Here is a 13,639-nt window from a genome sequence, read left to right on the forward strand (position 1 = left end):
ATAATATATTCAAGGTATTTCACTGATTTTTTTAACGAACCAAATACTTGCTTCCCTTATTAACCTCTCGTCAACATTGTTTATAAGGATTATTAGTCCATTTGTACTTTAACAAATCAGTGCTACTAGATCCCATGTGATTTTTTATTTTCAGGATTACTCTTTGCTAAAATATTAAAGCCTGAGTTCAAAATATTGTCTGATGTGACTTGTCTTCCCTTAATATTGACAGAGTGGCATATAAGACCATTGAAATGACATCAAATGCCGTGGATCCCAGATGTCTGAACCTTCAGTGTGTAGGCTAGGAGCACCTTAGGCGGACGCAGATCGAAGTGCCAGTAGAGATGTCACCCCTGCCTCCCTGGCTTGGCTGTGCGCCTGCAGTGACTTCTGTGTGGAGCATGACCAGAGCCCCTGGCTTGGGAAGGCTGGAGGGACATCTGTTGGGCTCCAGCCTGGGGAGGGGTGCAGGTGGGCAGGGCTGCCTCAGCCCCCTGACGCCACGTTCCTCTGGGCTCTGTAGGTGCTGAACACCAGGCTCTAGGCCTCATGTCCAGAACCACTAGGGCATGAGGGGATGGAGCTGCACTTCGAGTCTCTGCCGGAGTGGAACCTGCCACCTTGTGTCTTTGGAGCCCCCAGGATAGCCCCGGAATGTGACGTGTTCCTTGTAGGACCCGGGTGGCCCTCCCAGAAGCAGTCCTTAGGGCTTTGTTGGTGGGCTCTATTGTCCTTCAACAGGAAATTTCCAAATGTGCATTCTAGGATGGGTGGAAAACCCTCACTCTTTTTCTAGAGTAACCCTTGAAGGACGTAGGTCAGTCATCCCTGCGTGTCACTGCAGGTAAATGGTGCTGCCTGGGACTGTGTGGCATGGGTTTAACTCTTAAGAGCATTTTTTTTGTTCTTATATCTGTCCCCCAAATTAAGAGGGAAGTCCTTCATTAACCATACAGGTTAATGAGACCAGTAATCCCCTCAACGGGGTGCTGAGCCCTGGCCATGTGCCTCAGATGTCTGCGTTAACAAGCATCAGCCCCAGCACCAGACCTTCAGAGTGAGGCTCTCGGAACTCACTCTGAAGTTAAAGTTCTTCGCCTCTCTTTGAAAGTTTGGAGATTCGCCTAATCTTATATGAAATGGAAACTTTTATTTCCTCTGGCTTATCCCTAATCTTCTTATGACTTTTTCTTCTCTGTAAACTCGAATGAATCGCCCTTTCCCTCTGGCACCCTGGCCAATTGGAATGCGTCGCCCCTTCCCTCTGGCACCCTGGCCACGTCCTGTGTTTCTGTCACAGCCTCAGTTCCTCGCGTCCGCTCACCCCTGCATTGCAGATGCCGCTGCCTGCGGGTGCATGGATCCCTGCCACCAAAGCCTCTGTCCATTCTCCACATGACTTGTCTTGAACACTGTCCTCTGGGGCTCACTGATACTTGCTGGTGCAATGATAAGAGAAAAACATCCTGACAACTATCTTTTCTACTCATTTCAGAAATATTTTATTAAGGACCAACCTGGGGATGCTGGGTTTTCCTAGTAGTCATTTGATTTTCCAGACAAGTGTGAAATTGGTGGGACATGAGTTGAAACTGGCTCTTAACACCCACCTCCCAGCAGACATCATTTCCCAAAATGCCATGGGCTCATTATATCCAAGATAAATCATAAGCCATAAGACCATGTCCAAAATCCAACAAATACATCTGTTCTCAGAAGCACTTTAATACAGATGTCTGTCTGACCTGAGCATATACCTGTGCAGGTGTTCCGAACGTCTAAGCGCTTTCCCTCCCCGTGCTGTTCTCTGGTACATGATTCTATCGTACCGTCTGGGCGAGTGAGCGGAGTCAGAGTGCATTTGTGTGGAGAGGCTGGAATGACTGAGAAGCCTCTCGGTGGCGCCTTTGAGGGAGGTGCTGTGCACAGCTTGTGGCTTCCTTCACTGGATCGCATCTCCAAGCTGCCCCTTTCTCTTGCCTTTGATTTTGCACATCATCCTGGGCTGTGCTCCCAGCTGTGTGTGGCCCTGGAGCTGACTGAGCCACACCGTGTGTGCATGTGAGAGAGGGCAAGGGGGGTGGGAGGGCCATACTAGGTGGGCGTAGGCGTGGGCAGGTGGCCCTGAGCAGGCAGCTTTGCCTGTTTGCCTCGGTTTCCTCCTGAGGGCCGGGCTGGCCTGCGGTGAGGATTGGAGGGATGCTCATGTGTGGTGCCCACACTCCACACTGGCCCCACGCGGGTGGCGAAGGACTCAGCCAGAGCCTGGCAGGATCCTGGGGTGTCTATTTCCAAGGAATGTTCTGGAAGAAACATACACACATACTTGTTTGCCAGATTTACCTGTGTGGTCTTCCAGATGAGAAGCAGCCTGTGTCACTCCATAAGGGAGAGTGCGTGCAGCATTGAGAGAGTGAGCCCTGCTCCCAGCTGCATCTGGCCCCTAACCTGCATCTGTGCTTCCCACACAGGTTTTAGCTGACGCTGTCTCACGCCTGGTCCTGGGTAAGTTTGGTGACCTGACCGACAACTTCTCCTCCCCTCACGCTCGCAGAAAAGTGCTGGCTGGAGTCGTCATGACAACAGGTAACCATCTTGGTGTTGTATGTAACCCTGCCTGTTTTCATGTCTGACAAATGTGAAATGTTCTCAATCGACAAAAACCACTGTGCCACACCGACGGGAGATGGTTACTTCTTTTCTTCTTCAAAATGTCTGCCATATGCAAGTTTACGAACTGCACTTACAAGCTTTTTTCCCAAAATGTTCATCTTTTTAACCTAAGTTTGTTTTATCTGGAGAAAGCACACTATATTAATATTTGATTCCTGTCATCTTCATCCTGTGAATGGCCTCAATCTGCTCTGGAAGATGGCAAGGGGCTTACTAATTCTTCCTTTATTTGAAAGTAGAGCCTATCTATTGTATCAGTTAATGTTAACGATGCCAGATAAGTTTCAGTGTGACTTCCTTTGAGGAGGGAGAGAGCTCTAGCAAGAGTAGAAAATCCGTGGGGAAAAAAAGCACAATTTAGAACGATAGAAGAAACCCTATTAAATTAGTCTAGAAGTTCCCAGTAGCAAAAGGAACCCCCGAGTCCTCTCCCCACATCCCGCGAGTGAGAACACGCAGCAGCATCTCTGTGGGTAGCTCCTGGGAAGGGAAGCCACATCCTTGGCCAGTGTCTGGCACCCCAGGGTGGAGCAAGACTCAGGGAGAGGACCCCTGTCATGTGGGGCCGTCTCTGTACCCAGCATCTGCTCAGCCCAGCCTGGACAGCCAGATGCAGGAAGCAGACCCTAGAGGTCAGGGAGGAAGCTGGGGACAGTTTCTCTGTCTACATCCACCAGCCCAGGAGAAACCCCCAGTTCTCGGTATGTGACTTTCTTGTTCTTTCCCCCTGAGGGGTCACCTCTATCAGACTCTGCAGCCCTCTTCACTGACCCACCTCTTGCTGCCCTAGGAAACCTGGCTGCTCTGCTCATGACCATTGTTTCCTTGCCGTGCCGTGTCCAGGGAGGAGGAAGCACCCGAACAGCAGCTTCTATTCTAATGTTTTGTACCTGTATCTTCTCCCCCTTTTACCTCTCTCCTTACTGCTATCTTTTACATTAATCAAAGGTGAACACCACAACGACTGAATAGAATAGTTCCCTAGGTAAGACTCCCTGCCTCTTCCAGCAGCATGGGTGAGTGAGCTGGTCATGTTCTTTCATCGTTTTGTTGTTGTTGTTGTTTTGTTTTTGTTGTTGTTGTTTTTAACGACCTTAGAAGAGGCCGATCACCTTCTGGGAACACCTTACATCTTAGTGTGTATTTCACCTGAGACCACTTGCTCAGAGCCATAGTTTACATCTGAAGCCAGGACGCTGGAGCACTTGGCACTCCAGACAGCTGGTTCAGGGGGCTCCCGCTGGTTGAGTGGACTTGGGCAGGTTACAAGGCCTCTGTGCCTCAGTTCCCTCATCTATACAGTGGAGACATTAGTAGCATGAGCCTCAGAGGACATCGTGGGAATGCAGTGAGGACAATTTACCTAACAGACCTGGTGCTTACCTGCCACATGGTGTGCACACCATTGGTTCAGCTGCAGTGGATGCGAGTTTCCCGGCAGGTGACTTCCAGGGTCCTGGCATCACACCTCTGGTCAGTGGTTTATCTCACAAAGTTGAGACGGAGTGATCTGTCTGTGGGAGTTCACCACTGCTTGTGATTTCACTCCGAGTGTGGTTAATGGTGACAGTTTACTAATGAAAACATCACAAGTTAATTCTGTTTTCCTTCTTATTCCTCTGGGTGCCGTTAACCCCTCCTTCCTAATCTCTTCAGTACTTTGATATTTGATGTCAAGATTAATTACCAGACCAGTTAGTCCACCTTTCCATAGTGTTGCCCAGCTGTGTTCTAGTTGTGGGCATTCAAGAAAAGATGCTATTGCATACCAGAGGAAATGACTTCCTTGAGTTTAGTGTCTGGACACTAAGCAATGACGATGGTTGGCTTTCCAGAAATGTCACAAAGTGAGTCCTCAATAGGAGGTTGTTTGCGTGTATACATTTGCCCACTTAAAAAATAGGTGGTAAGAATATGCATGAAGATGAGCTTGAAAAGTCTGTTGGCCCCTGAAAAGTTAAGTCACTGAGAATAAGAGTCAGACTTCAGGAGCACAGTTAGGCAAACATTACTGTGAATTACAGAAAATAGTGTCTCTTTTTTTTTTTTTCAGGCACAGATGTTAAAGATGCCAAGGTGATAAGTGTTTCTACAGGAACAAAATGTATTAATGGTGAATACATGAGTGATCGTGGCCTTGCATTAAATGACTGCCATGCAGAAATAATATCTCGGAGATCCTTGCTCAGATTTCTTTATACACAACTTGAGCTTTACTTAAAGTAAGTTTAGTAAACAAATAAGGACAGGAAGCTCTTTTTAAAAAATATTCCTCTATTAGAAAACATTGCAAAACCTTTCATTGTTTCTGTAATCATGGAAAATCTCTCAAAATCATAACTTTAATTAGTAACAATAAGGCTGCATCCCATTCTTCCACAATGCTCAACACACATATGCACACATACATACAATAACATAACATGGTCATAAATTTCAAGTCTGTGTTTAAGACCATGTGATTTTGTTGTATGCTGTATAAATAGAAGTTCCCAAACTGCCAGGTAAAGATGGTAATTTTTATTCTAGTCACCGTTTCTAGAAAGAGCTAGTCATGTATCCAAACTCCTTTTCTTTACAAAGCCATTTTTTGTATGTGGTCTTTCTGTTCTGAAGTCATAAATTGGAAGAAGGAAAGGTTACTCACATCCTGATGACATATCCATTATTGAGTGACAAGAACTGTATTAATTACCCTAAACATGTAAAATAAATATTCCAGTTCAAACTTATCTTTCCCTTGTGGAAAATACTAGCCTCTGAAAATGATAGACTAAAATTTAACTATATACAGCTTTAAATGTTACTTTTGCAACTTTTTTCCTTTCAGTAACAAAGATGATCAAAAAAGATCCATCTTTCAGAAATCAGAGCGAGGGGGGTTTAGGCTGAAGGAGAATGTCCAGTTTCATCTGTACATCAGCACCTCTCCCTGTGGAGATGCCAGAATCTTCTCACCACATGAGCCAATCCTGGAAGGTATGAGACGAGATTCTTCAACAAGCCAGTTTCTCAAGAAAATGTTAACAGATAAAAACTAACCTGTGTTAATATCCCTTTTCCTTTTTTTCTTTTTATTTTTAGACTTGGATGTGGATCTGATAAGAGTCTCTATAAAAGCATGGATTTTTTTCTTTCCAATTAACTTAATTAGAAAACTTTAATGAATGAAAAATGCTGATTGTAATTAACCAAGTAATTAGAATGGAGTGAGAATATTGGATTAAAATTGTATCAGTATTTAAATTTGGGTAATAAATATCTCTAAATCAGAGGTGTATGTGATCCTCCATATTTCTGAGGAATTCTAATTTGCTAAATGTGTAATTAAAGTATTTATTTGCCTGATATTTCAGAAGCAGATAAACACTAGTGAAAAGTGAAACCACTATTGTGATCATATTTTTTTCCATCCTTCTTTACATTTGAGGTTAGCACTTTTGTTTTTTAGTGTTTTGTATCTACATCCCTTCTCCCAAGCCCTTAGGCATTGTTTATTCCAAATAGAACGTTTTATTACATTACTTTCCTTGTTTATAAAAGCAACAGGCATACTCACTGTGGAAAATTGCTAACTATTTTTAAAATATAAGAACATTAAAATCATCCGTATTCCTGTAACCCAGAAATACTCACTATGGATGTTTTACCATACTTTCCATGGGTTTATTTCTGCATCTGTCTAGATTTATTTTGGAAATTTTAAAAATATAGAGGAAAATAACATGGCAAACACCCAAGTATCCATCACCCAGAATTAGCAAATGTTAGCATTTTGTCCTATTTGCTTCAGTGCATTTTTAATGATAGAAATAAATCATTTCAGTTAAAGTGAAAACCCCATTTCCCCAACTCCCTTGGAGACCACTTTTGTGAATTTTGTTTGTGTTATGTCCTTCCTACTCAATTTCATATAATTTTTTTTTTTTTTTTTTGAGACAGGGTCTCGCTCTTACACCCAGGCTGGAGTGCAGTGGTGCAATCATGGCTCACTGCAGCCTCGACCTCCTGGGCTCTTAAGCGATCCTTCCACCTCAACCTTCCAAGGAGCTGGGACTACAGGCATGTACCACTATACCTGGCTAATTTTTATATTTTTTATAGAGATGGGGTTTCACCATGTTGCCCAGGCTGGTCTTAAACTCCTGGGCTCAAGCGATCCACCTGCCTCAGCCTCCCAAAGTGCTGAGATTACAGGTGTGAGCCACCATACCCAGCCTCTCAGCTTCACATACTTATTTTGTATGTGTATTTTGTATGTATGGCATAAACATATGCATTTATATGCACAGACTGTATTTTAAATTTATAAGCTATTGTTAGATGTGCTTTTCAATAAATCAAATAGATGGTTTACTACCTGTGGGGTTTTAACTCTTTTTCTCTCTTAGAACCAGCAGATAGACACCCAAATCGTAAAGCAAGAGGACAGCTACGGACCAAAATAGAGTCTGGTGAGGGGACGATTCCAGTGCGCTCCAATGCGAGCATCCAAACGTGGGACGGGGTGCTGCAAGGGGAGCGGCTGCTCACCATGTCCTGCAGTGACAAGATTGCACGGTAAGGGGCGGGGGCTCCCTGTGGCCACCTCCCTGCACACAGGATTCATCCATACTGTTTGCCAACCTCCCTTTTCCACAACCATTTGAATTTTGGCCCCATTTCCCACTCAGGTGTTCCACAGTATTCTTTGAAGGACTGAGGTTCTAAACAGGTGCTGCTGGGACCCCCGTGAGGGGCAGCAGCAGGACCTAGACACAGGAGGCTCCACGCTTCTAACATTCCTATCCAAGCGTCTCAGAGTTTACCACTTATTTTTAACGTGGGCTTCTGGGTTAAACTGATGTTTTTAATGGGCTACAGGCCATGACATCTTAAAACTACTGGCTTCTCCTCATTAGTAGTAGATGCAACTTCAGTGGTCACTTTCATCATTCAGTTAACATTTTAGGTAGTTGATATGTGCATTTTAAAAGTAATGCAAACCCTGTCACAGGCATTGTGTTCTAAGCACAGAGAGCATCCCCAGCCATTCTGTGCCTGGGTGTGGGTTAGGCTTAGAGGAGGGCTCTGCAAGCACACTTCTGTAGTCAGCAGGCACCTGGGAGATATTCATCTTTCAGAGGCCTGTATCCAGAGCAGATTATAGAAAACCCATTTCTTCAGATGGTATCAGTTCCAGTAGTTCTTTGTTTTCATTTTTAAACTAATGTTTATTTGGAAAAAAAAAGTAACATAAGCAGATGGCAAAAAGCATACAATGATAAAGTTTAAAACCTCCCTCTTCAGAGCCCTCCTGTGGCACCCACAGTGAGTGGGTTTTGACTGTCCATCCAGAAGCTGTCAAAATTGATGCATACGCATGTGCACGTGCACATCTTTTCATTGTTTGTGTGCCCTTTATGTTGATTTCCTTCAGTGGGTCTTGTCAGGCAACCTCAAGTACAGGGAGCTGGATTAATCACACATTTTGGGCCATTGCCCACAGCCCAGGTGACCACTGTGATGTGTTTATTTATTATTTGTCCTTCCAGTCCACCTCCACACGTGCATATGTCAACTTTGTGTGTGTGTGATGTGGGGGAGGGGGGTGTACTCTTGAAAAATACACAATAGAATTATTTGGAGTATTTGTTGCTAATTTACAGAAATGATACTATGCTGTAAATCCTATCTGATTCTTACATTTTCATTCAACCTATATTTTTGGAGCTATTTCTGTTGCTCTAACCAACAGCCAGTTCACTACTGACTTTTGCAAATCTTCCTTCATAGTCATGGGCCATTTCCTTCATGATGGGACACCCATATTTCTTCTAACTCCCTTATACATGTAGTCCTGTATATCCTTCAACTTATGCAAACTCCATCACAATATTATAGACTTTGCTAGAGTTTCTTGGGGCATATATTCAGGAGTTATGCACATATATAACTTCACAGAATAATATCAGATTGCATCCCAGGGCAGTCACACTAGTTGACACTTACACCAATAGTGCATTAAGTTAGCTTCTCCCACATTCTGTAAACTGATATCTTCATAGTTTCAATTTTTATTTCTCTTTATCACTAGGAATGTTGGGCATCTCTTCAATTACATATTAACTGTTCATCTTACACCTTCTTTGAGTTGTCTGTTAATATCATTTGTTCATTTGTCTTTTGAATCTCATGCCTTTTTCCTCTTGATTTTCAGAGTTCCTTTTACAGTTGATATTGTAATCCTTAGCCCTTTGAGAAGATGCAGTGTCTTTTGCAAGTCCTTTCCCCTTTGAGTAGTCTTGCACTCTGTTGAAGATGATTTGAACATATACACAAGGGTTTATTACTGTGCTGTCTGTTCTATTCCATATGTCTATTCTTTATGCCAGTGTCATGCTGTTTTGATTACTGTAGCTTTGTAATATGTTTTGAAATGAGGAAGTTTGAATCCTCCAACTTTATTCTTCTTTTTTCAAAATCCTTTTGGCTATCCAGGGTCTCCTGATATTTCATAAAGATTTTTGGATGAAGTTTTTCAAAAAATGCCATCGTTATTTTGATAGGGATTATGTTGACTCTATAGATTGCTTTGGTTAATATGGACATCTTAACAATATTAAGTCTTCTAACTCATGAACATGCGATATATTTCCATTTATTTGTATCTTCATTTCTTTCAGCAGTGTTTTATAATTTTTATTTTACAAGCCATTCACCCCCTTGGTTAGGCTTATTACTAAGTAATTTATTCTTTTTTGTGCTATTGAAAATTGTTTTCTTAATTCCCTTTTCAGATCATTCATTGTTAGTGCATGGAAATGCAACTGATTTTTGTGTGTTGATTTTGTATCCTATGATTTTGCTGAATGTGTTTATTATTTAAACAGTTTTATGGAATCTTTAGGGTTTTCTACATATAAAATTATGTCATCTGCAAACAGATATAATTTTACTTCTTCCTTTCCATTTTGGATGCCCTTTATTTCTTTTTCATGCCTACTTACTGTGGCTAGAACTTCTAATACTGTGTTAAATAGAAGTGGCAAAAGTGGACATCCTTGCATTGTACCTGATCTTAGAGGAACAGTTTTCAGTCTTTCACCGTTGAGTACAGTATTAACTGTGGTCTTTTCATAAATGTCCTTTATTACGTTGAGTTAGTTTTTTTTCTATTCCTAGTTTGTTGAATGTATTTATTATTATTAAGAAAGGGTGTTAAATCTTGTCAGATGCTTTTTCTGCATCAATTGAGATGATCATGTGGCTTTTGCCCTTCATTCTGTTAATGTAATGTATTAATTGATTTTCATATGTTGAACCATCCTTGCATTCCAGGAGTATCATAATGTATAATCCTTTTAATATGCTATTGAATTTGGTTTGTTGAGAATTTTTGCATCAGTAGTCATCAGAGATACTGGTTTGTAGCTTTTTTTACCCTTCTTCATGTCTTTGGCTTTGATATCAGGGTACTGCTGGCATCATAGAGTGAGCTTGGAAATGTTCTCTTTAGTTTTTTTGGGAGTCTCAGGAGGATTGGTGGTAATTATTCTTAAATGTTTGGTAGAATTCTCTAGTGAAAACATTTGGTCCTGGGCTTTTTTTTTTGAGATGGAGTCTCGCTCTGTCACCCAGGTTAGAGTGCAGTGGCACAATCTTGGCTCACTGCAGCCTCTGCCTCCTGGGTTCAAGTGATTCTCCTGCTTCAGCCTCCCGAGTAGCTGGGATTACAGGTGCCTACCACCATGCCCAGCTAATTTTTGTATTTTTAGTAGAGATAGAGTTTCACCATGTTGGTCAGGCTGATCTTGAATTCCTGACCTCAGGTGATTCACCTGCCTCGGCCTCCCAAAGTGCTGGGATTACAGGCATGAGCCACTGCCCCCAGCCATGGGCTTTTCTTAATTGGGAAATTTTTGATTACTGACCCAATATTCTTATCCATTAATAGTTTGAATGAATTGTTTTTCATATTCATTATTCCTGCTATCATTTGGTTACCATCTGCATGGAATATATTTTTCCATCCTTTCACTTTCGGCCTATGTATCCTTAGATCCAAAATTAGTCTCTTATAGACAGTACATAGTTGAATTGTTTTTTTTTTTTAATCCATTTACCCAATCTGTATCTTTTGATTGGGGAGTTTATTCATTGACATTTAAAGTAATCACTGATAGGGAAGACTTACTGTTGCCATTTTGCTGTTTTCTATATGCTTGTAGCTTTTTGCTTGTTTTTCCCTTATTCTCTTACTGCCTTCCTTTGTGTTTCTTTCATTATTTTTTCTAATGATAGGTGTATTAGTCCATTTCCATTTTCATTGCTGATAAAGACATACCTGAGACTGGGCAATTTACAAAAGAAAGAGGTTTAATGGACTAACAGTTCCACCTGGCTGGGGAGGCCTCACAATCATGGCAGAATGTGAAAGGCACAATTCACATGGCAGCAGACAAAAGAGAGCTAGCTTGTGCAGGGAAACTCCCCTTTATAAAATCATCACATCTCATGATACTTATTCACTATCACAAGAGTAGCATGGTAAAGACCTGCCCCTATGATTCGATTACCTCCCACTGGGTCCCTCCGACAATACATGGGAATTGTGGGAGCTACAATTCAAGATGGGATTTTGGTGGGGACATAGCTAAACCATATCTATAGGATTCTCATTTATTTTATTTTTTCCTTTTGTCTCCGTGGGGTACAAAATCTCATTTCTTTTTGTGTATATTCTACAGGTATTTTCTTTGTGGTTACCATTGCAATTACATAAGACATCTTTAAATTATAGCATTCTATTTTAACTTAAACTTCAATTACATAGTAAAACTTTACTTCTTTACTTCCACCCCTTCACACTTTGTTATTGAAGTCACAAATTACATCTTTATATACTGTATATCCATTAATATACATTGTAGTTGTAATGTTTTTGTCATTTAAATTTTATGCACCAAAATTACAATAGTATTGGTTACTGTATTTGTCCATGTGCCTCCCTTTACAGGAGAACCTTATTTTTCCATACAGCTTAATGTTGCTATTTACTGTCTTTCTATTTCAACTTGAAGGACTCACTTTAGCATTTCTTGTAAAGCAGGCTAGTGGTAATGTACTCCCTCTACTTTTGTTTATCTGGAAAAGTCTTAATTTCTTCTTCATTTTTGAAGGACAGTTTTGCCAGATCAAATATGCTTGGTTGACAGGGTTGTTTTTTTTTTTTTTTCTTTCAGCACTTAAAATATATCATTCCACTCCTTTCTGGCTTGCAAGGTTTCTGCTGAGAAAGCCACAGGTCTTATGAATCCTCCCTTGTATATGACAAATGGCTTTTCACTTGATGCTTTTAAGATTCTCTGTCTTCACTTTAGACAGTTTGATTAAAATGTGTCTTAGTGTGGTTCTCCTTGGATTTATCTGTATTTCATTTCTTTGAGCTTGAACTTGTATGGTCCATTTTTTTCCACAGATTTGGGAAACTGTTAGCAATTATTTCTTCAAATAAGCTCTTAGCCCCTTTCTCTCCCTCTTCTCCTTCTGGTATTCCTAGAATACTTGTATAAGTCTGCTTGATAGTGTTCCGTAAGTCCCTTAGTCTCGCTTCACTTTTCTTCATTCTTTTTTCTTTTTGCTCCTCTGACTCAGTGATTTCAAAAAAAGACAGTGACCTGTCTTCTTTTTTCCACCTCATCAAGTCTTCTGTTGCATGCCTTTAATGATATTTTCAGTTCAGTTATTGTATTTTTCAGCTCCAGAATGTTTGGCTCATTTTTATACTAATATCTCTTTGTTGATATGCTCATTTTGTTCTTGCTAAGTTTTTCTTATTTTGTTTAGTTGTCTATGTTCTCTTCTAGCTCATTAGGCATCTTTATGACAGATATTTTAAATTCTTTTTTAGACAGCTGATAGATGTGCATTTCTTTAGGGTCAGTTTCTGGAAATTTACTTTTGGTCCTTTGGTTGGGCTATGTTTTCCTGTTTCTTGTATGCCTTGTTTATTTGTGTGCTTTGCTAATATTTGGGCATTTGAAAAAAGAACCATCTCTCCCAGTCTTTGTGTACTGGCTGTGTACAGAGAAAGTTCTTCACTAACAAGCTGGCTAAAAAATCTAGGACCTCTTATGCTTTTTCTGATTTCCTGCTTCTCCTGGTGTCTTCCTGGAAAACTGTAGCTCTAATGTGCTGCTTGCCTCTGTTTTTAGTGGCTCCCAAACTCTGGCACCAGTCTCATCACCGAGTCTGATGAGACTCAGGCAAGACAGAAACCAGCCCTTTGGGCAGACTCCAGACAGCCAGAACATCAGACTAATGATCCACTCTTTTGTTTCCATCCCAAGAGAAGAGCCCCAGTATGGAGGCTTCCTCCCACTTAGGGGGCACCTTGCTATTTAGGGAAAGGGGAACAAACAGGCATGCCAAACATCGTGAAATTTCCTATCCCTTTCATTGGAATCTCTTCCTAGTTTTACAATGGACTGGATACTGTAGCTTCTCAGTTGGTCTCCAGAGTTCTCACAGAGCCATTCTGGTCTGTATATTGTTGTTAACTCAGGGTCTCTATGGGGGAAAGAGGGCCTGTAGCTTCCTAGACTGCCATCTTGTTGAAGTCGTAGTCCAAACACCATTGATTTTTTAATGTTAACCTTATGGCCAGCAACTTAACTCACTTCTTATTCTATTTATACTTTCCTGGTTGTTCTTGAATGTACCAAGTCACAGTCTGTAGATATTGACTGTTCTATATCTTCTTTTGTTATACCAGTGTTATTTTTCTTTATTCCTGCTGTCCAGGACCTTGGATGATATGTTACAGCACTGTCCATGTTTTCTTCCTGAATCTCAGAGAGATTGTGACTGAAGTTTCTCCATGATGTACAGTTTTTCCTACAGGGTTTTAGTAGGTAGCCTTCATCATGCTAGGAAAATTCTGTTCTATTCCTATTGTCTTAGAGCCTTTTTATTATCATAT

The 13,639-nt window shown here is 41.2% G+C and overlaps 1 protein-coding gene across 28 annotated transcripts in view; it reads left to right on the forward strand.

The window, feature by feature from the left end:
* ADARB1 (adenosine deaminase RNA specific B1) overlaps positions 1-13,639 on the forward strand; it is a 151,986-nt gene that overhangs the window by 103,278 nt on the left and 35,069 nt on the right. For 17 of the 28 annotated variants that reach the window (NR_073200.2, XR_001754787.3, XR_007067777.1 and 14 more), the window contains 5 exons: positions 2,475-2,589; positions 4,730-4,898; positions 5,507-5,655; positions 6,619-6,738; positions 7,068-7,236. Coding sequence is in view for 18 of the 28 variants with exons in the window: in XM_017028251.2 (XP_016883740.1) it covers positions 2,475-2,589; positions 4,730-4,898; positions 5,507-5,655; positions 6,619-6,738; positions 7,068-7,236 (722 nt within the window). In the remaining 10 variants the exon portion in view is untranslated. The remainder of the gene's footprint in view (positions 1-2,474; positions 2,590-4,729; positions 4,899-5,506; positions 5,656-6,618; positions 6,739-7,067; positions 7,237-13,639) is intronic. The other 11 variants (NR_027673.1, NR_027674.2, NR_144483.2 and 8 more) reach the window with 1 other exon arrangement.

This window comes from Homo sapiens, chromosome 21 (genome assembly GCF_000001405.40).
Source record: "Homo sapiens chromosome 21, GRCh38.p14 Primary Assembly".
In the NCBI taxonomy this organism is placed as follows: domain Eukaryota; kingdom Metazoa; phylum Chordata; class Mammalia; order Primates; family Hominidae; genus Homo; species Homo sapiens.